Raw genomic sequence first — 22092 nt, forward strand, 5'->3', positions numbered from 1 at the left:
TAAAAACGTCAAGCTCTACATTATAACATATATGAAACATATCAGAAAAATAATGTGTTACCTAGTAGTCCCTTTCCTCGGAGAGATATGTAATAAACATGAAATGTCAGTTATCCCATTTGCTTTCTCTTTCTTTTGAAACATTCATGAAAGTGACACAGAGGAGGAGGAAGATGACACTATCCACATGGGGAACGCGATCATGACCTTCTATTCAGCTTTGATTGACCTCTTGGGACGCTGTGCTCCTGAGATGCATGTGAGTTTCTGGGAGTTCAGGAGCAGCAATCCTGATTTCTCTGTGTTAAGACATCTATAGCTGTCAAAGAGCATAACAGCATCCAAAACCAATAATCTTCATGCTCCATTAAAAATAATAGCTGCAGTCTAATCACTGAACAAGTGTTTGTTTAGTTGGAAATGTCTCGTTGGTTGTAAAAATTAGTAATGGGATTTCAGTGCAAGTCATTAATAGAGTACTTAAGTTACTCATATATCTCTGAAACTCATACAGCCTCCCACATTTTAAGAAGAAAAGAACATATTTTCTCTATGCAATTTCCTCTTATGTTACAGTGCATCCAGAAAACAACTGCTCCTACCAAAAGTCATTTTCTTTTGTGTATTTAGCTCTATGTGTTTGCCATCGTTTTAGGGGAAAGTGAGAGGGAAGGTATAGGGGGTGGATATTAAGAGCTATTTAGACCATATAAATTAGTGTCTGTCTGTCTTTCTTTCTTTCTTTCTTTCTTTCTTTCTTTCTTTCTTTCTTTCTTTCTTTCTTTTTCTTTCTTTTCTCTCTTTTTTTTTTTAATTGAGGCAAGGTCTTGCTCTGTCTCCCAGGCTAGAGTGCAGTGGCATGATCTCAGCTCACTGCAATCTATGCCTCCCAGGTTCAAGTGATTCTCCTGCCTCAGCCTCCTGAGTAGCTGGGACTACAGGCACATGCCACCACGCCCAACTAATTTTTGTATTTTTAGTAGAGACGGGGTTTTGCCATGTTGGCCAGGCTGGCCTGGAACTCCTAACCTCAAGTGATCCAACTGCCTCGGCCTCCCAAAGTGCTGGGCTTACAGGCGTGAGCCAGCGTACCCAGCCTAGATTAGTATTTTCTGAAACTTTTTGACCCAAATGAAATTAAAGTTTCGTGGAATAATACTTTTACTCTGTAATACATTCTGATATTTTGTTCTTTATTTTATTGTAGTTGATTCTGTGTTATTCTATTATATTCATTTAAAAAAAAATCCTGGCCCAGGGCCCAAAACATTCATTTCCAGATCTTTTAATGGGAAACAAACCCAGAGTTTGAGAGTTTGAAACACATTGATTGGTGCTGGGGTAGTTAAGAACTGTAAGTATATTTCTAAAGTGGGATGAGCATGAAGCCAGGGCTTTCTTACAAAGCACCTTTTTCTCTACCCTTATTATCTATATTTCTTTTGGTTTTGGTTGGGTTTTTTGTGTGGTTTAGGTTTTTCATACCCAGAGGTTAAAACTTCCTTGATGTACTCTTTTGTTGTGAACAAAGAGGAGTCACAGGATAGAGAAATGTTAGAATGTTAGAAAACTGGAGTCTGATTTTTATAAAAACTTAAACTTTGCTGCTAGTAAGATTCTTTCATCTTAGTAAATGGAAACAGAGACTATTAAAAATTTCTGTGCTGGAGGTGATTACTGACAACAACAACAAAAATACTTGCTCACAATATTTGTTATTTTTCCCATCTCAGAAAAAAACATCAGCGAAACAAAGAGAAAGTATACTAATAAATAGAAGTTTTCATTCTATTATATTAATGGGGGAAAACTAAGTGAAGGAATAGGGGACCAACCTTGGCATTTCTGAAATTTATGCATCTTCACAACTATTATTTGAGGCCTCCTGTGTGCCAGAAATTGTGCTTGAGTTTCACGCCCTGTAATGAGGTAAACAGATGCCCATCCCGGCTCTTCAGACCTAGTCTGTCCTGAAGACTTGCTGAGATTCTTGACCGTATGTTCATCCACAGTCATCCTGGATACTTCATGTCAGTCTAAAAGAACTGTTAGGATTTATGTTCGTCATTTCCTCCACATTATATATCCAGCCTTGGGAGAAATCAGGGTCGAAGACAGATGGATATGCAATTCATTTCTTAGCACAAAGCAAGAAAGAAGCTAATTTGGTCATAAATATTAGTATATGTTCAGAGTCTAATGATAATTTTCTTTGTATTATTGCTCATGTTATTGATAGGTATTTACATGTAATTTTGGAAAGTAAACTTTCATAAACACGTCAGATTCTCAGTATATCTTAACAGTCCCCAAAAGGATAAAAACTATTATTCTAATGGATGAACCAACTGGCCTAGACCATAGTATAAATAACTTGGTGTATGCTGAAATCACTGAAAACTGTTTGAGCAAGTAAATATTCGCAGGTAAGCCAGAAAACTATTTCTGAGAGAGGCATAACTTTATGTATACACTGATCAGAAAATTATTTTGGACTTGGATTCCAATACTTCAGATTTCCTAGACAGAATTGTAACATTGATGTCACAAAGTTGTTCTAATGTTTTTTTTTCCCCTGTATAGTTGATTCATGCCGGGAAGGGAGAAGCCATCAGAATTAGGTCCATTTTGAGATCCCTCATTCCCCTGGGAGATTTGGTGGGCGTTATCAGCATCGCTTTTCAGATGCCAACAATAGCCAAAGGTAAGGCCAACTTCAATTTGTCCTAATTCAGTAGGATGTTGGATGACATCATGTTCTAAAGAATGTTTTCCGTACTCAACATCCCAACCTCTCCACTTCCTAAATTATGTGTATACTACTTAAATTAGTTTTTTTAAAAAAGCTGTAAAGTATATATTTTATAATTTTTTCCTTTTTTTTTTTGAATTAGAGCCTTGCTCTGTAGCCCAGGCTGGAGTGCAGTGGCACAATCTTGGCTCACTGCAAGCTCCGCCTCCCGGGTTCAAGCAATTCTCCTGCCTCAGCCTCCCAAGTAGCTGGGACTACAGGCGCCCGTCACCATGCCCGGCTAATTTTTTTTGTATTTTAAGTAGAGATGGGGTTTCACCGTGTTAGCCAGGATGGTCTCGATCTCCTGACCTCGTGATCCGCCTGCCTTGGCCTCCCAAAGTGCTGGGATTACAGGTGTGAGCCACCGCATCCAGACTTTTTTCCATTGTTTTTAAAGCTCATTGTTTTTAAAGCTGTGTTTGCTTTGGGATTTTAATTTTCTTTTATATGACATTTCAGACAGCTTCCAGAGAAGCAGAAACATGCACTGCTACCCTCCATTGTCTTATGTCCTGCCTTGTGTCATTGGTCGCAAGCTCTTCTGTCTTTCTTGACCTTAGTTCCTTAGTTATGCATTTTGATAGTTTTCATTGTCACTTTCTTGTAATGCTTTTCTATTAAAAGCACTGATGATAGCTTTTGACTTAGAGATTTTAAAATCCCCTCTCTGTTAAAAAGAGTGTTTGTTGTTTTTTTGGTTTTTTGTTTTTTTTGAGATGGAGTCTCACTCCGTCACCCAGGCTGGAGTGCAGTGGCGCGATCTTGGCTCACTGCAATCTCTGCCTCACAGGTTCAAGCAATCCTCCTGCCTCAGCCTCCCAAGTAGCAGGGACTACAGGCATGTGTCACCACGTTGGGCTAATTTTTTGCATTTTTTGTAGAGACAGGGTTTCACCATGTTAGCCAGGATGGTCTCGACCTCCTGACCTCACGATCCGCCTGCCTCAGCCTCCCAAAGTGCTGGGTTTACAGGCATGAGGCACTGCTCCTAGCCAAAAAGAAGTGTTCTTTTCATGAGTAAGGAGAAAATGTTTTTCAAGATTAAAGAAGTTATTGAAGACAACTAAAATAAGTGTTAAATCCCAAATTATACTTTGTTTTTACTTTATCAAATGTAAGGTGTTTTTTTTCAGTTTTCAATACTTTATTGGATATTTATACATAAATCATTTACATGAAAGACTTCTAATTGTAGAACAAAACATAATTAGGGGCCAGGCGTAGTGGCTCATGCCTGTAATCCTAGCACTTTGGGAGGCCAAGGCAGGTGGATCACCTGAGGTCAGGAGTTCGAGACCAGCCTGGACAACATGGCAAAACCCCATCTCTACTAAAAATACAAAAGTTAAACAAGCATGGTGGTGGGCATTTGTAATCCCAGCTACTCAGGAGGCCGAGGCAGGAGAATCGCTTGAACCCGGGGCAGTGGGGAGGTTGCAGTGAGCCGAGATTGCACCACTTCATTCCAGCCTGAGTGAAAGAGCGAAACTCTGTCTCAAACAAACAAACAAAAAACATAATTAGGCAGGAAGTGCATGCTATATATATTCCTTTTCTTTCATTAATTATGCCCCTAGAGAAGGCAGGCTATAATAGCTCAAGTCTAGAATGAAAGGGGTCACCATATACCTGAAGGTAGCTCATCCTGTTTGCCAGTCATGATTATGAGAAAGTAAAGCTTCATGTATGCTAACCTTACAAACCCAAATCTACAAGGTGGCAAAACTACCATAATAATTGAACGCCCATTATAGCTTTAGGCAAAGCTAGAAATTAAAAATCTTCCCCGCCTTTGGCTTCCCCATTTGAGACAGTTTCTTCTCCTTGTGCATCTGTAGCTCATCTTCCTTTGCTGTCTCTGTACCTCTCTTCTAACTCATTTTCATTTGCTTAAGGAAAATATCTTTTCTTTACTCTATACTTTGAGCCACAAAATAGACACTATCAGGACAAAGATAATAATAGTACCAGTGACATACAGATTAGGAAATAGGGAAGCATTAAATTTTGTAATAACATAATAACAAAGAACCAAGAACATAGATTGTAAGAGAGCCCAGGGGTCCTTTACAGAATGGGCCCCAAAGTTTCCAGGTACCTCCTCGTTTCCTCCAGTCATCTGCCTTTAGCAGCCTTCAAGAGTTTTCAAGTTGCTTTCTTTCCTTTTGTAGTTAGTTGTGCTCTAATATGTTATTTTTCTTCAAATATATGCAGTATATTGTCTACATCGGGAGTCACAGTGGTTTGTGTGTGTGTTTGTGAATTTTGTATCAGTCACAATGAAAGTTAACTTTTAACAACACAATCCATTGGTATTTGTTAGATCTCTGCTTTTTTTTTTTTGCTTTTTTTTTTTTGAGACGGAGTCTCACTCTGTCGCCCAGGCTGGAATGCAGTGGCGCAGTCTTGGCTCACTGCAAGCTCCGCCTCCCGGGTTCACGCCATTCTCCTGCTTCAGCCTCCCGAGTAGCTGGGACTACAGGCGCCCGCCACTATGCCCGGCTAATTCTTTTGTATTTTTCGTAGACACGGGGTTTCACCATGTTAGCCAGGATGGTCTCGATCTCCTGACCTCGTGATCGGCACATCTCGGCCTCCCAAAGTGCTGGGATTACAGGTGTGAGCCACCGTGCCCGGCCAAATCTCTGCTTTTTTCAGCCAGGTGTGGTGGTGCACGCCTGTAGTCCCAGCTACTCAGGAGTCTGAGGCAGGAGAATCACTTGAACCTGGGAGACGGAGGTTGCAGTGAGCCACGGCCGTGCCACTGCACTCCAGCTTGGGCAGCAGAGCAAGACTCTGTCTCAAAAAAAAATTTTTTTTTTTACTGCTTTCCTTTTGTGGAGAATGTAGACAGAAACCTGTAGGTTTTTATGTCACCATAGCTGTGCATTTAACTTTATGTGGCTGTGCATTCACTGCAGAGCTTCAACCACCAATATTTCTTTCTCCTTTTCAATGACAACTCAATTGGTCTATAAGCATCACCAAGTAGCAGTAATAATGGTTATTATACATTCCATATTTAGTATGTGAAGTTTGTCTCTAAAGAATGATATTTTCCCTTCTCAGGATTAGCTAGGGTCTTCCTCAGACATTTTTATCATATTTATTTCCAAGCTAGAGTATGCCTCAGAATAATAATGAAAGAAGGAGGGGTTCAGAAAACTTGAGGAACAAGCACATAATCTTGCAGCTCTTGGCCCAGACTGATTTGGCCGCCCTGTCTGAGGCAGTAATTGTGGGTGGATGAATACAGCAGGCACTGCTGGTAATTGCGGGTGGATGTATACAGCAGGCACTGCGGGGTGACACTGCTGCTCTGTTGTCTCCAGTGTGTTTGAGGAGATGGTGCAAATAAAACAGCAACTTGAGCCAATCCGTGAGTCTTGAGTTACAGGCAGATGCATTTGTGGCATTCATTAGAAACAATGTCTGCTTGGATAAGAGCTTAAAAAGCAAAGCATATAGAGCAGGATCGGTGAGCTTCTCCCTTTTTCCCTAGGCACAGCTACGGTTTAAGATAATAGAACACTGTACATTTAAATTCCTTTTTAATGCGATTTTTAGGAGAATTGAAATTGAATTTTATATAGATTTTTAATTGAAAATCATAATATACTGATTTGACACTAAGGTTAAGTCAGCTTTGGCTGGATTTTAAATCCAGTTTTAGTTGGTTTAAATACAACTCTGTCAGTTACTAGGTATGTGACCTTGGACTAGTTACTTCTCTAAAGGCTAGTTTTCGTCATTCATTGAATAAGAGTCATGATAGCAGCCTCACAGTTGGGTTGTGGGAATTGTGTAAGATCGTGTCAGTAACATTCCTAGTGCAGTACCCGACAACAGCACAACACATCAGAACTATTATTCTTATAATGTAAGGAAAGGAATGTATTAGTTATATTGGGTGTTATAATTATAAGGAACGAATACTACCAGGCATTATCCTTTCATCTAGTTTCCTTTAGAACATTATTTGTTTGTTTTCATGATTCACATATAAAATTTTTTCATTGACTATACGTGGAAACAGAAAAGTTGTCATTTTATTCATCAGTTTATTCAGGATGATTGTGGTCATGTGTCTTCTTTCTCTGAGTTCTTATTTCTTTGATGTTGTATCCATATGAAAATTTCTGTGATAGTATTTGTAGAAGAGTACAGTGTGTGGTCAGCACCAGTTTGGCGTAATTATCATGTGGTCAAACAGGAAGTAAATAAATTCTTCAGTATTTGAAATTGGCACATAATCCCATGATTTCTCATATCAGCGGTCCCCAATTAGGGAACCTACGGAGTGACTATAAGGAATTCACTAATCTCTATAGGCATAAAGCTTTAAGTGTTGATAGAGAAAGCAATATGACCCTTAAATGCACGTTAAATGCTATTATGATTAATGAAACATATTTCATATGAAAGCCATACTGGTTTTATAGTGTCATTTCATCATTTCGTTATTGTTCTAAGACGTGAAAATGTAAATATACCAAGATTATCACATAAAGGTAGATGAGCTTTATTCATGTTTAAAACAGGCTCACTTAGAAAAGAGTGAACATCCCCACTTCACATTTTCACTTTTCATGGATTTCACTTGGAGTTTTAGAAAGTAGATTTTGGATGCCTGTTTGTTTCTCCTAAGTATCTAACAATGCCATGTCTTGTATCCTGTATGCAGTTAACAAGTGGATGCCTATATAACAGTTAAATGACCTTGGCTTTACATTCACTGCCTTATTTCCTCAGCAAACTCCCATAATAGCTTGAGGGTAGTCGAAGAACAGAAAGCCATTTCATTGAAAACTGTGTTTAAAATGTAAGAAGTCTAGAAAGCAGCCATTTGTAATCTATCCTGTATATGACACAGCCATTGACACCAAAATTCACTTCTCTCTTTTAGATGGGAATGTGGTGGAACCTGACATGTCTGCGGGGTTTTGCCCAGATCACAAGGCAGCCATGGTTTTATTCCTTGACAGGGTCTATGGGATTGAGGTTCAAGACTTCCTCCTCCATCTTCTTGAGGTTGGCTTTCTGCCAGATCTCCGGGCGGCTGCTTCTTTAGATACGGTGAGATTGGAGCGATGGACTTCCTCCTCTCTTGACTCTTCACTCTGTGCCTTATGATGTTCTTTTTTATATATCCATTCATTAATTTATTGACAATGAATGTTTATTGAGTACCTGTTATATTTTCAGGTAAGCCATGGGTAAACAGAAAATAAACTAGGCTATGTTCTCAAGGAATTCACTGAATAAACTGACAACCTCAAGAAACTTCCCACTGACCAAAAAGAATATGATAAGAATTCTGATAAGGTGCTATATGGGATTCAATAAGAGGTTCACATAACTCTAATTTGGGAGGTCACAGTGACTCCTGTTAACCTCTGTTCAGTATCAACTTCCAAATTGGCCTAAACAATTATGCTTCTCAATAAAAGCAATGAAAGAATTAAGATGATTTAATGGATATTGTTGAGTCAGTATCATCTTGGTATCTTCGTTTGTTAAGGTACAAATGGATTGAAGGCTGTTCTGTATATTGGGTGGCCCACATGGAGAATCTGCCATTATCAGCTTAAATGTTCTTTTCTTTGAAACACTGTGGAATAAGCTGAAGTTCTAAATGTTATTGTAGTAGTTATGCTACTATACATATTTAATACCTACTTTCATGTACTCATTAATTTTATCAATTAAATGTGCTTTTTTGATTTCAAAGCACATTAGGACTTGAGCCGACAGTAGCCCCTTCATGAAATATATGAGAGCAGAATCACAAAAATGAAATGAAAATTTCTTTTTTCTTTGTTTTGTGTATTCACCTGACGTTGTGGACCTGGATAGTATGGGCGATAACATAGTAGTAATACAGTTATCCTTTGGTTATTGGTGCTGATAGACATGAGAAGAATAAATATGAATAATAAAGAGAATTCAGAAAGAATTTACGCATATGAGATCTATTGTGAGAATAAGCTCCTCTCTTTGCCTAGCAAAGGAAAATACTCACATCTGTGATATTATTGTCTTCTTACATTGATCCTACCATTGATATTTAATGATAGAGTCTGAACCTGTTAAGCTTTTTGAGGAGATAGGTGTCATTTCATTCATTTTTATCTATTTATGAACAATGGATAGTTGATTGTTTTTAGTGGTAAAAATCATATGAACCCGACACTTAAAGATGTAACTAAAGAATACATTTCCATGTGTCATAGTGCTATCATCTTCCGGATAGTGAAATTGTATGTCCCCATGTTAATCCCTTTGAAGATTATCTACTGCCAAACACAAATGGCCTTCTACTCTCTGATTCTTTTTCAGGCAGCTTTGAGTGCTACAGACATGGCCTTGGCCCTCAATCGGTACCTTTGCACAGCCGTCTTGCCATTGTTAACAAGATGTGCTCCTCTCTTTGCTGGCACAGAGCACCACGCTTCTCTCATTGACTCATTACTTCATACTGTGTATAGACTTTCTAAGGGCTGTTCACTTACCAAAGCTCAGCGGGATTCCATAGAAGTTTGTTTACTCTCTATTTGTGGGTGAGTGGATAACAAATTCTATTCCGGCTTCTTCTTTAAAAAACAGAATTTACAATGTGGCCTTTGACAAATTATTTAGAATTTTGGAAACATTTTCCATACCACAAATTTAATTCATTTTAGGTAGTCCCATATACTGAGGTATGAGTCTTCTCTGATCGCCCTTGCTCCCAGTCAAGTTCCAGAGTGTTCCTCCAAGCCTCCCTAGGGTATCCAGCTGTTGGATATAGCTTTTGACCAGTTACAGAATACTATTCTGGATGTTGGGAGTGGGGAGTAATTGTGTTGGGAGTCCTTGGCCACTTTAGGTGAGATGAATAGATCTCCCCTTTTGACTGTGTTTGATGATTTAACTCATCTTCTAGAAGAGAAAAGAAAAAAGGGACTTCTTAAATATAAAATGTGATACAGCATAATATTAAACCATATTTATGTGTGGCAACGATGAAGGCTGAATATTTCCTCCAACCTGGAAAACCATTTCCTATAAGTAGAAGTGCTAGAATGTCTTACAATGAAAACCAGAAACGTATCTCCCCCTGATGAAGTTTTGCCTGTGAAAGTGATAATTTCTCAAGCCCCTAGAAAGATCGTGGCTCATTTGTAACTGCTCAGGGACTCTTGCAGGTGCAGCCAGCAGCCTGGCAGTCCCTGGGGGAAGGGCAAGTTTTCACCCATGGGGGAGTGTCTGGGTTGAGAACCAGATGGCACTGAGGGAAGTGGAAAATCAGAAGAGTAATTCTTTAACTTCCCTAATCTAAGATTCTGTAAAATTGAACCAAAATGCCTATCTCACAGATATTTTCTAAGTATTACATGAGGTAAAACACTTGCTGTTGCCTGACACAGTAGATGTTCACTGTGTACATTTTCTCTCCCTTCCTTCTCTGGCAAATTTGCTGTCTCAGCCTTTTTTTCCTCCTTTCTGTTCCAATATTCCCTCTTCTTTTTCTTCTTACCATCCATTGGAATGAGGGAAGAGACATTTACTAAAGTTAATGGAGGAAAGTCTTAGGAAACAGTGGAGTCTGCATTTGTGAGTGGTTAGGAAAGAAAGGAGGAGAACAGAAACATCTTCTGTATCAAAGAAGGGGTGGTCTTCAGATCTAGGGGATAGAGATAAGTTGGGAAATCTAACCTTATATAAAATAAAGTAACTAAGTGGTTAATCTTTGGACAAAGAACATCTAATGAATACCATCTGAAGTGAGGTATAGATTCAGGTCCTTGGCTGATATAATTTATTCTAATGAATGATCTACTTAGTTTAGAAACATTTCTTGGCATTATGAACATTAGCTTTGTTCCAACAGACAACTGAGACCTTCTATGATGCAGCACTTACTCAGAAGATTAGTATTTGATGTTCCATTATTAAATGAACACGCAAAGATGCCTCTTAAAGTAAGTATAGGAAATGTTTGTAGATATTTGATTACTGGCTTCTCTGACTTTATTTTCTATGACAACATATACATTTCTTAGATACATCATGCTTGACGCTGGGAAATTTCTCCCAATTATTGAAATGGGCATAGAAGTTATAGGAATGTATACATCAACTTGAAATAAACAACTTCTATAAGATTATAGAAATCTTAACATTGATTTCCATGGAAACAATGGAAATAGAAATCAATTGAAAAAAAAGGACCACAGGCCGGGCGCGGTGGCTCACGCCTGTAATCCCAGCACTTTGGGAGGCCAAGGTGGGCGGATCACGAGGTTAGGAGATCGAGACCATCCTAGCTAACACGGTGAAACCCCGTCTCTATAAAAAATACAAAAAATTAGCCGGACGTGGTGGTGGGTGCCTGTAGGCCCAGTTACGTGGAAGGCTGAGGCAGGAGAATGGCGTGAACCCGGGAGGTGGAGCTTGCAGTGAGCCGAGATCGCACCACTGACTCCAGCCTGGGTGACAGAGCGAGACTCCGTCAAAAAAAGAAAAAAAGGACCACAGGGAAAAGATAAGCCAAGATACTCTTAAGTTGGAAAACATGGTAATAGGCCTGGCCTAAAATATTATTAGAAACCTCGAGAGATAAAGACGAGGCTTTAAAGACAACATTTTCTAAGTTAATAATCACATGACAGGTTCCAATTGTCACTTCATAGGGTTCAAAGATAACCTCTCTGTATATGCAATTATAGTTTGTCACACAGCATAGAAAAATCACTGGTATTTTCTCTAACTTTATTATTCTGTTCAGGATCAAGTCTCACTCTATCTTACTGAGTTGGGAATGTTTTCTTGTCCTTTAATATCATAATCTAGACTCAGAATATAGAATATAGTGTTTGCATCAAAGTTATATAGTAATGTGATGGATTTTTATAGATGACCACTCTGCAATGCCATCTAGTAGCATTATTTTTTCCCCAATGGCTACCCAGTACTAGTGCTGAAGAAGTATGAGATATAAAGAGTCTATATGGAGCTGTTACAGTAAGCATCCCTGGATATTTAGCAAAAGTAATCTTTCTCTATGAAAATTGACTTTGGTTTAATAAATCTGGATACATTAGTGAATTAGGTAAAATAAATTATATCCTTGATAAAAATTCTATTTTTATGTTTTTTTGTCATCTTCAATAGTCCTTGTCTTGCAAAATTTTTTGATACAAATGAGCTGGAAAATTCGTGAAAAAAGATACAGTCTCATGCTGTTACCCTTATGCAATAAAACTCTTTTACATTAGAGATATGTCAGTGTTAAGCCAAGCAAATTAGAACTCAATATTTCATCATTTGTGACTCCTAAATTGTGTGGATGTATGTATGTGTCCATTTTTTTTAACTGAAAGGGAAAGTAAATGAGTTGTAATATTTTAACAGTAAGACATGCAGTCCACTTTAATAACAGTAATTCTTATAATTTATTTTCTTCGTTAGATATAGGAAAGGGTCAAAATATGTATAGTCATAAGATCATTTTATTAATTTGACAAATATAGATCAAGAATAAATTATCCAAAGAACTACCAAATAATTGAAAGATTCTGTGCTTGTCCTTGACCTTCCAGTTTAGTTCTAAACAAGCAATATGCATAGGTGAAAATGTAAGGAGCAACGTAGACAATCAGTAAAGTAATAAATTGCATCCATAACCACCAAAGAAATGTAGACAAATAAGTGATCAGAGTAGAGCAATTTTGGAACTTCACTTGGAGAAGTAAGTTTTGTGGCAAGCCATAGAGAGGCAGAGAGGGAGCAAAAAGAATCACAGATGTATAGTTCCTTTATTGTGCTTCTGGGTCATCCTGACATCAGTCCCTTCATTTTACACACAGATTCCAAGATATTAATAACAATTCATTAAATTATTAGTAAATGATTAACGTAGAACTCAGGGATACATAGACATCCAAACAACCTCATAAAGAATCCTGTTCAAGATATAGTTACTTGTAAAATTGGGCGTCTGGTCTTCATATTGCAATCAGTGTTAAATTTGAAAGAGACATAGTGTCTTAGCCGGGGTTCTCTAGAGGGACAGAACTAATAGGATAGATGTATATATGAAGGGGAGTTTATTAAGGAGTATTGACTCACACGATCACCGGGTGAAGTCCCACAATAGGCCGTCTGCAAGCTGAGGGGCAAGGAAGCCAGTTCAAGTCCCAAAACCTCAAAAGTAGGGAAGCCAACAGTGCAGCCTTCAGTCTGTGGCCGAAGGCCCGTGAGCCCCTGGCAAAGCACTAGTGTAAATCCAAGAGTCCAGAAGCTGAAGGACTTGGAGTCTGATGTTTGAGGGCAGGAAGCACCCAGCACGGGACAAAGATAAAGGCCAGAAGATAAAGGCAAGTCAGGTTCTTCTGCCTGCCTTTATCCTAGCCGTGCTGGCAGCTGATTAGATGGTGCCCACCCAGATTGAGAATGGGTCAGCCTCTCCCAGTCCACTGACTCAAATGTTAATCTCCTTTGGCAACCCCCTCACAGACACACCCAGGAACAATACTTTGCATCCTTAAATTCAATCAAGTTGACCCTCAATATTAACCATCACGTGTAGTATACACGGTGATAGTATTCTCCAAGATAATTTATATGGGATTGGGCAATTTCACTTCAGATGACCTTATAATGTAGCATTAGAGTGTGATATGAGGAGAAATGAAAAAAAAATATAAAAGGTTTTGATAGCTCATTGCTTTTATAATTGTTTTCCCACATAGCTGCTGACAAATCATTATGAAAGATGCTGGAAATATTACTGCCTGCCTGGAGGGTGGGGAAACTTTGGTGCTGCCTCAGAAGAAGAACTTCATTTATCAAGAAAGTTGTTCTGGGGCATTTTTGATGCCCTGTCTCAAAAGGTAATTTAATGGTTTGTGGGTTTGTTTGTATCAATAAAATGGTATAGAGCCACACATTCTTAGTAAGATAGTATTCCTAGTTGAATACTATCTTTGCTAACCAAGACACGTATGGCTTGATTTTTTCTCTTTTCTCAACTTCATAACAAATGTTGAAAATGCAACTTATATTTACTTAATCATTGTGGTAGCATTTTCCTTGTGATCATAACACTGTTTCTGAATATAAAATGGCTAAGCAGTTCAGGAAATTATGCACAAGGTTGATAAGTTTCCGGTGCATTTGGACTCAAACTCTCCCTAGTCCCATCTCCAATCTTATAAAGGCCAAAGAAATTATATCCAATATAAAAATACAAAACATGAAATCTTATGTAATTGTAATATCCCAGTGCCCTGCTAAAGTCTCCAGCTTTGCTGCTATGGAGATTTAGATACCGTCGCTCAATGTTGCATTGCATATGTGGCATTGCCTTATAGTTGCAAAATTTATAATGAATAGTTCATATGTTTTCAGATGACTGACAGGTGTTGATCTTAGAGAAAAGGCAGAACAACAAGTTTTGTGTGTTCATCCTTAAATTAATCAAAATTAGTTTCAATTCCCAGATTGACATTATTAGATGATTGGAGTAGTATAACCACTAATTTGCTACATAATAGAAGAAAATTTGTCTGCAATTACATTTGGTAGCAACACTTTAATGCTTTTTCTTACCGAATTTCCTTTGGTAAACTGAGTCCTTTTAAAATAATGTGTAAGTATTTTTTAGAATCATTTACAACATTTATTTAACATTGAACATTTAAAGTGAAATAAATTATTACTATTATTTTTCAGAAAATCTATAAATATAAATTTAACTGTCATTAATATATAAATAGCTCTTCCTATAAATTTTTAGCATGCATACTTTCTATAGAATTTCTTTTCCAGCTCAGAATTTTATTTTTCAAAGCTTTATAATGCAACATGGATCAGTTAAAATTTCTCACTCTCTAGAATGTTATGCTTTATGTTTTTTTATATGTAGTCATTATAATGTACAGGAATTATCTATAACTAACTATAAGGAATGTAGTCCCTATTGACTGAAATTATGTTTATCTCTTAACAATATTTTACACATTGACAATATTAAAGTTTACTTCATTTCCAGTGTGTTGGAGAGTCAAAGATTTTATTCTCCTTAAGCTGAAACTTCAGTAAATCTAGCTGCAGCTTCTTTTCTGTTTGATGGGGTTTTAGGCCCTGTGTTTCATTTTCTGGAAAAAGAATGATCAGAGAGTTCAGTTAGTCCAGGGTAATTCAGATTTTCTTCTGCAACCTTCTGTCAGCCCTGATGATCATGCTGACAACTTTTGCCATATAGTAATTTTTTTTTTTGGTCCTCCATTTTTCCCAGAAATATGAACAAGAACTTTTCAAACTGGCACTGCCTTGCCTGAGTGCAGTTGCGGGAGCTTTGCCTCCAGACTACATGGAGTCAAATTATGTCAGTATGATGGAAAAACAGTCATCAATGGATTCTGAAGGGAACTTTAACCCACAACCTGTTGATACCTCAAAGTATGGACTCTTTCTATTGCAGCAGATTTTTATTGTAAATGATGTGTGAAGTCTGAAATTGAATAAGGTACTAAAGTGAACTTTCTCTAATACATGCCCCCTTTGAATTGGTATCCTTTTAATAGGGGTCCCTTTAATTTATAAAACGATAGTAATAATAATAATGATTATACTAATATCAGAAATAGATAAGATGTACCTTCTAGGATACTCTTAACACAATCAAGACTCTGTACATGGAATATCTATAATAGAATTAAGAAAGTATGTCAGTTATATTTTTAGTTGAAAAATTACCCTAAATGTTTATTAATAACGACAATCAACCTCTATATAACATCTTTTACTTAGGATGTACCCAGCATGCACTGCAAAGCTGTTTCTGCGAGTAGCAAGGGAATCCCTTCACCCATCACTACATCTCAGCAAGGCCCAGGGTTAACAGCTGATGTTCAGCATGATAAAACGCAGCACAAGATGGAAGGGAATATCAAATGAGAATTTTTATGGAAAATTCCAATTGTTCTACAAATAGGATGTTTGGGAACTTCAGGTGTTCGACGTCTGAGCATTTTGTTGTTGTCGTTACTGTTTTTAAGTAGGACCATGGTTCTCCATGTGCAAGGAAAGCTGCCTCTTCATGCCACCTTATCTTACTGATTCTATGGTGACTCAGCAAGATCAGTTTTAGCAAGGTAGACACTTGGTAGTTATTATCCACGGCTTCTGAATTTGCTTGGGAGTTCAACTTTGAGGCTTCTGAGTGGCCCCCAGCTGATTTAGCTTCCATAACCAGATCAGAATTTCAACCTGAGTGGTATGCCATTAGTTTGATAATGCCTTAAATTTGCATGTTTGGTCTTTGATGACAGTCCTGTGAGAAAAGACCCTTTCCCCCATCCCCCAGTATTTGGCTTATATGATTGATCTTTTGTATCTCTTCCGAAGTAAGTAAACCAAACTATCACATATTCACATTCCTACATGGGTAAGTTTGTGGTTTGCTAACATATGATCTCATCTGAGATTTTTAAATATCAGAACAATATCATGGTTTTGGTGTTGGTTGATTAAATCCAATTAATTAATAAGTGTGGGCATGGATATTAATTTACCTAGGCTTGCCCCTTTGGGGACTTCTTAACAGATACAGGTTTATGTGGTGATATCAGTGATTTCTAGACGATTACGATTTTTTATATATTGCTTCTTAAGTATGTGTATGTCTTATAGTTCAATTACTGTTAACTGCTGGAAAACAACAGCAAACCATCTTATACTAGATTTTATGTAGAATTGTATTCTCAAAGTTAATACTTTAATAAGATATATTTATTAATGAATAGAATTATGTATGTATGTATATATATTTAATTTTCCATTCATAGATACGTTTTAAGCCTTAGATTTATCATCAGACTTGGTCATCATTTGCATGTCCTCAACATCAAGGAATTAAATATTCATTTAAACACAAAAGGAGTCAAGATTAAATATTATCAAAAAGCAGGAGTTAATTATTTTCCCTATAGTTAATACCAGTAACATTTACAGTGTTATTTGTGGACCATGTATATTTAAAAATTTTAACACATCACTACTAAATTTAGTGCTTGTTTTTTCTTTTTTGTGTAATCTATTGTCCTAATCTTTGAATGTATTTTAATTATTTCAATTTATATATTTAATAATAATTGTTATTATAGTTTTATAATATGTAATTTGTTATGTTAGCACATAAAATATGAATCAATATAAGATGAGCAGATAGAACATTATCTGCTTGACTTTTCTTATATTGTTGTGAAAATAGAAAAATGTAATTCTAAAAAAAGAAGTCGTGTTTAACAGTTAAAATTGAATGAGATATAAGCATTCATAAGCTGTGAGTAAATTATTAATATGATTTCCTGTAAATTCTGTGAAAATCAAGCTCTTTTGTCTTTACTTTTCTCATAGTATTACAATTCCTGAGAAATTGGAATACTTCATTAACAAATATGCAGAACACTCCCATGACAAATGGTCAATGGACAAGGTAAAAAGAGTATTACATTCTAATTCAGTAGTCATTATTAATGACTGGTCACTGTTCAAATATTTCTGACCATGACAGTTTTCTGTTTTAAAATGAGAACTTGATCTAAATTAGGAAAAAATACTTAATTACAATTAGCTTATATAATAATATAATATTTAGCTAGCTCTATCATTAACACAAATATGATACCCTTATGAATAAGCACTATTTTAAGCTTTCAAAAGATCTATTCATTAAATTATAAATATAGTTTCTATAACATATATTGTTTATCAGAGTAAAAAAGCAACAATCACCAAGAGCTTCAGGAGGAAATGATGACTCCGGGTTCAGAATTCACCTTTTAAGGAAACTTTGGTTTTATATGTAGGTTTTTTTGGTTTATTTTTTGAGTCCTGCTCTGCTGCCCAGGCTGGAGTGCAGTGGTGTGATCATACCTCACTGCAGCCTGGAACTACCGGGCTCGAGCAATCCTCCTGCCTCAACCGCCTGAGTAGTTGGGACTACAGGTGCACACCACCATACCTTGCTAATTGTTAATATTTTTTATAGAGATGAGATCTTGCTATGTTGCCCAGGCTGGTCTCCAACTGTTGTTGGCCTCAAGCAGTTGTTCAGCCAGCCTCAGCCTCCCAAACTGCTGAGATTACAGGCATGAGCCACCATGCCTGGCCAGGTTTTATATGTAGTTCTATATCAGATAAAATCTTGAAAATTCTTAATCAGGATTTAACAATTATTTACCTTTTCTATTCTTCTGTTGTATTTCTTACTACCAACTAGATCTGCAGTTTACTAAAAATAGATTACATCGGCCAGGTGATTTTTTTGTGTGTTTTCAAGAAAAACAACAGAAATGAGAAAACTAAAGTAGCTGCATCTATGAGATAATTTCTACATATTATAAGTTTTCTAAAGGAAATCTTATGCCTACAGGTTCATGTTTAAGTTGAGCTTAGTCTAAACTTGACAGAGGATAAAGTAGGTTCATCAGAGGAGTTGAGTTGAGATAGTTCAAGAACTAAAATACTTCTATATTGGTTTGGCGAAATGAAAATCAGACACCAAAGGTTGCTTCCAGAGGATGTGTATGCTACGTAACAAATAAAGATCATCATGCTGGAGATGTCATGTTGAGTTTCAAACTCTGCCCTGGCCAGCCAGTCTTTCGGTCCCTCTAAGAAACCCTTTTTTGTTGGTTTTGATAAGTATCTGGTTCTTCATTCAGTAATTGATTTACTAGGTAAGTCAGTAAGGATCTATCTTATATAAAAACTCTGCTAAATACTGAGTGGGTGGAGTTGGTGATGGAGAGGAATATTACAGGAAGGTTTTCCAGTCTAATTACTCAGATTCTGTAGGCAGACAAGAAATTATATAGGGAAATGGTGATATGTACAGATGGGCAAAATAATATGGAATGAATGTGTTGAGAGAAAATTTGATGAAAGAATGGGTAAAACAGGTGGCATTATTCAGAGAAGACGCTGAGATGCATACTCTAGTTTTCCTATTTAAAATGCATGTTTTGTATTTACACTTCATAGGTGGGGTCCCAAGATGGGTCAGAATAAATATCCTTGGGACCATGCATCCCTCTAGCCTCCTCCTGTGGGAATGCTTATTGGCACAATTATAAGACCTTGGTCTGTTTAAGGAAGATCAAGTGCTTCTAATCTCTAGATAAAAGACTTGTTCCAGATGATTACTGAAAATACATCATGCAATATGTCCATGTAACAAAACTGCACATTTACTCCCTGAATCTGAAATTTAAAATAAAAGAAAATAGCATTGAATATCTTTATAGTGACTTATGCTGGATAAAATTTCAATCTTAACCCTTACCTTAGTTCATTTTAGGTTTATTTTATCAAACACGCACTTAAACACCTGCATATCTACAATCTCTAAAATTAACACGTGTAAAACAATTTTTAATGTTTGCCTTTTTTTAAGTTGGCAAATGGATGGATTTATGGAGAAATATATTCAGACTCTTCTAAGGTTCAGCCATTAATGAAGCCATATAAGCTATTGTCTGAAAAGGTAAGGATTTTTTGTTTGTTTTAGTTTGTAAAGTTTTTATTCTTTTGAAAAATGTGTTTTTTGGTTATATTTTTTATATTAAAATGTCTTCTTTATTTTAAATTTCACATTTTTTCTTCCAAAGGTCCCGTTTAAAAAAAAAACCTTCTTATATTTTGTCTTTTCCTCTCAATTCTTAATTTCTGTCAGCCTTTCTGTGTTTATTCTCTTCTCTCCTTAACATTTTTCTTTTCCTTTTTGGTTTTTATTCCTCTCCCATATTTTTAAGTACTTTAAAAAATCTTCTTATCATGCTTAAGAGTTTCTTGATGAGTGATGACAAAGTAATAATGTGCTTATTATGTATAGATTTTCATATATTTTACTTCTTTGGGAAAGAAATGAGTATCTTGACAAATGAAGTGAAAAGGATTTCACTTCATTGTGAGTCACATGTATATTACATAAGCTGTCCCTTTTTTCTGTGTAAGGTCCTAGGAACCGGGTTGCTAAAGGAAATTGACCTTGGTGCTATATAATGAACAAAGCGAGGATCCCTCTTACTAACATTAGTAAAACTAGATCTCTGCTCACACTCTGCTTTTCAGAATTTTACTTTCCTTTTTATATTTTTAAATAAGCTATGCTCATCAAATTTTTAAAAAGTGAAGGCAGTCTATTTTAGAGCAAAGCGTTACTTAACATTTTTATTTACATTCATAATATATCTGTTGTTTCTTGTTTTTTCTTCTCTAGGAAAAAGAAATTTATCGCTGGCCAATCAAAGAATCTTTAAAAACTATGCTGGCTTGGGGCTGGAGAATTGAAAGAACTCGGGAGGGAGACAGCATGGCCCTTTACAACCGGACTCGTCGTATTTCTCAGACAAGCCAGGTAAGAATTCATCACGGTGATGAATCAACTGTTTATGTTATGGATTAAATAATTTTTTAAATTTAATTATTGAGTTTTTCTAAAGAATAATCTGAAAATTCTGAAGAGTCACAAAATTTAGAAGGGAGAGAAAAAAGCTATATATATATTTTTTTTAGTTTCAAAGGAGGTTAAATGATGATTAAGTTACTGGACTTTATGTACAAGCCTTCCTTTTCCTGGCTAGTATAGAAGAAGTAACCAGTTGTAGGACATGGATGAAGCTGGAAACCATCATTCTCAGCAAACTAACACAGGAACAGAAAACCAAACACCGCATGTTCTCACTCATAAGTGGAAGCTGAACAATGAAAACACATGGACAGAGGAAGGGGAACATCACACACCGGGGCCTGTCAGGGAGTGGGGGGCTAGGGGAGGGATAGCATTAAGAGAAATACCTAATGTAGATGACGGGTTGATGGGTGCAGCAAACCATTGTGGCACGTGTATACCTATGTAACAAACCTGCACGTTCTGCACATGTACCCCAGAACTTAAAGTATAATAAAAAATTTAAAAGAAGAAGAAGAAGTAACCAGTTGTAAGGTCCTGAAGTTTTCCTAATGAAAACAGTACATCATGTTCGTTTGCTACAGCTAGTTTGTCTATAGGGCTTTCTTCTCATTTCCAGTGGGATCTGAGGGTTGATTCTTAGGAAAGAGTAGGGTGTTCAGACAGTCATGATCCAGATTTAGAAGGCACAAGGGCGCTCCTGTCTGCAGAGGGAAGGTATACAGCCACACAGGCAGAGCAAGAATTCACAGAAGATGTTGCTGCTGGACCATGTCAAGGGAGTTCGACAAACAAGCAAGGCTCTACCCATAGGTCTTCGGTGCTCAAGGTGGCAAGAGTAAGGCACAGCCTTGATGTGGAAAAGCTAGAGTTCAGGGAGGACACCAAATACCACCCGTTAACATTTAGTCACGAGGTCATGTGAGCTGCTTACCTTTGACCCCCTCATTTCTCCTGGGAGCTAAATCTGTCATTATTCTTTTCCTGACCCCTCAGCTCACTATGTATGTGGTTTACACCAAATATTGTTTATTATTGCTATTTACACAAATATCATTTTTGAAAAAAAAATGAGGGTCTAACAGCATGTGCTTCACATGCTCCATATTTGAAATATACTTTTAAATAAATTTGACCTTGGTCAAATTTTAATTTTAAATAAATTGAGTTCTGATTTGGGCATACTTTACATTCAATTGTCTTTGGGATGTATCATATATGGATGGAAGCTATAAAAGTGTATTTTATCTATTTTTTTGTCTGTGTACTTTTCTAAGTAGATTAGCTTTTATTTTAATCTGTTTCAACAAATGCTGAGCACAAACTGCGTACTAGATAATAAGAATACAAAGATAGCAAGACAATTCTAATCCTAAAAGTCATAAAATAGTGTTAGATAAGGTCAAGTTAAATCTACTACAACATGGTATGGTAAGGGTGGGACTAGTGGTATGAATAAGGCACTACACAGTATAGAGAAAGGGATGTTTTTTTTTTTAATTATTCTGTCAGGTAGATAAGAAATAAGAAATTACTACAAATGGAGGTGACTTTAGGCTTCATGAAAAATAAGGTAGATTCTCCCACTGCCCTTAATAACAAAAATTATGTACTCTAATTTAAAATCATGTATATTTTATATCACTCCTCTTTCTCTTTCTCCTTTTTGTTCTAATAGTAAGCCCTTAATAGACCCTATTAACCCGTGAAACCATCTCTCATGTCTTAGTGATTTTCACGGTGACATGTGATTTTTGAAATTCATTCTTAAATTTCATATGCGATTTCAAAATATTAGGCGATGCTTGTGCCAGAGGCACAGTTTATGAGATAA

General features: G+C 36.7%; 1 protein-coding gene across 18 annotated transcripts in view; it reads left to right on the forward strand.

The window, feature by feature from the left end:
- RYR2 (ryanodine receptor 2) overlaps positions 1-22092 on the forward strand; it is a 791805-nt gene that overhangs the window by 598560 nt on the left and 171153 nt on the right. For 17 of the 18 annotated variants that reach the window (XR_007062490.1, XM_006711802.4, XM_006711804.4 and 14 more), the window contains 10 exons: positions 154-259; positions 2584-2704; positions 7701-7870; positions 9134-9354; positions 10668-10758; positions 13531-13671; positions 15078-15241; positions 17201-17279; positions 19242-19331; positions 20067-20204. Coding sequence is in view for 16 of the 18 variants with exons in the window: in XM_006711802.4 (XP_006711865.1) it covers positions 154-259; positions 2584-2704; positions 7701-7870; positions 9134-9354; positions 10668-10758; positions 13531-13671; positions 15078-15241; positions 17201-17279; positions 19242-19331; positions 20067-20204 (1321 nt within the window). In the remaining 2 variants the exon portion in view is untranslated. Of the gene's footprint in view, positions 1-153; positions 260-2583; positions 2705-7700; positions 7871-9133; positions 9355-10667; positions 10759-13530; positions 13672-15077; positions 15309-17200; positions 17280-19241; positions 19333-20066; positions 20205-22092 lie in introns of those variants that run through there. The other variant, XR_002957299.2, reaches the window with a different exon arrangement.

Source organism: Homo sapiens, chromosome 1, assembly GCF_000001405.40.
Source record: "Homo sapiens chromosome 1, GRCh38.p14 Primary Assembly".
Taxonomy (NCBI): domain Eukaryota; kingdom Metazoa; phylum Chordata; class Mammalia; order Primates; family Hominidae; genus Homo; species Homo sapiens.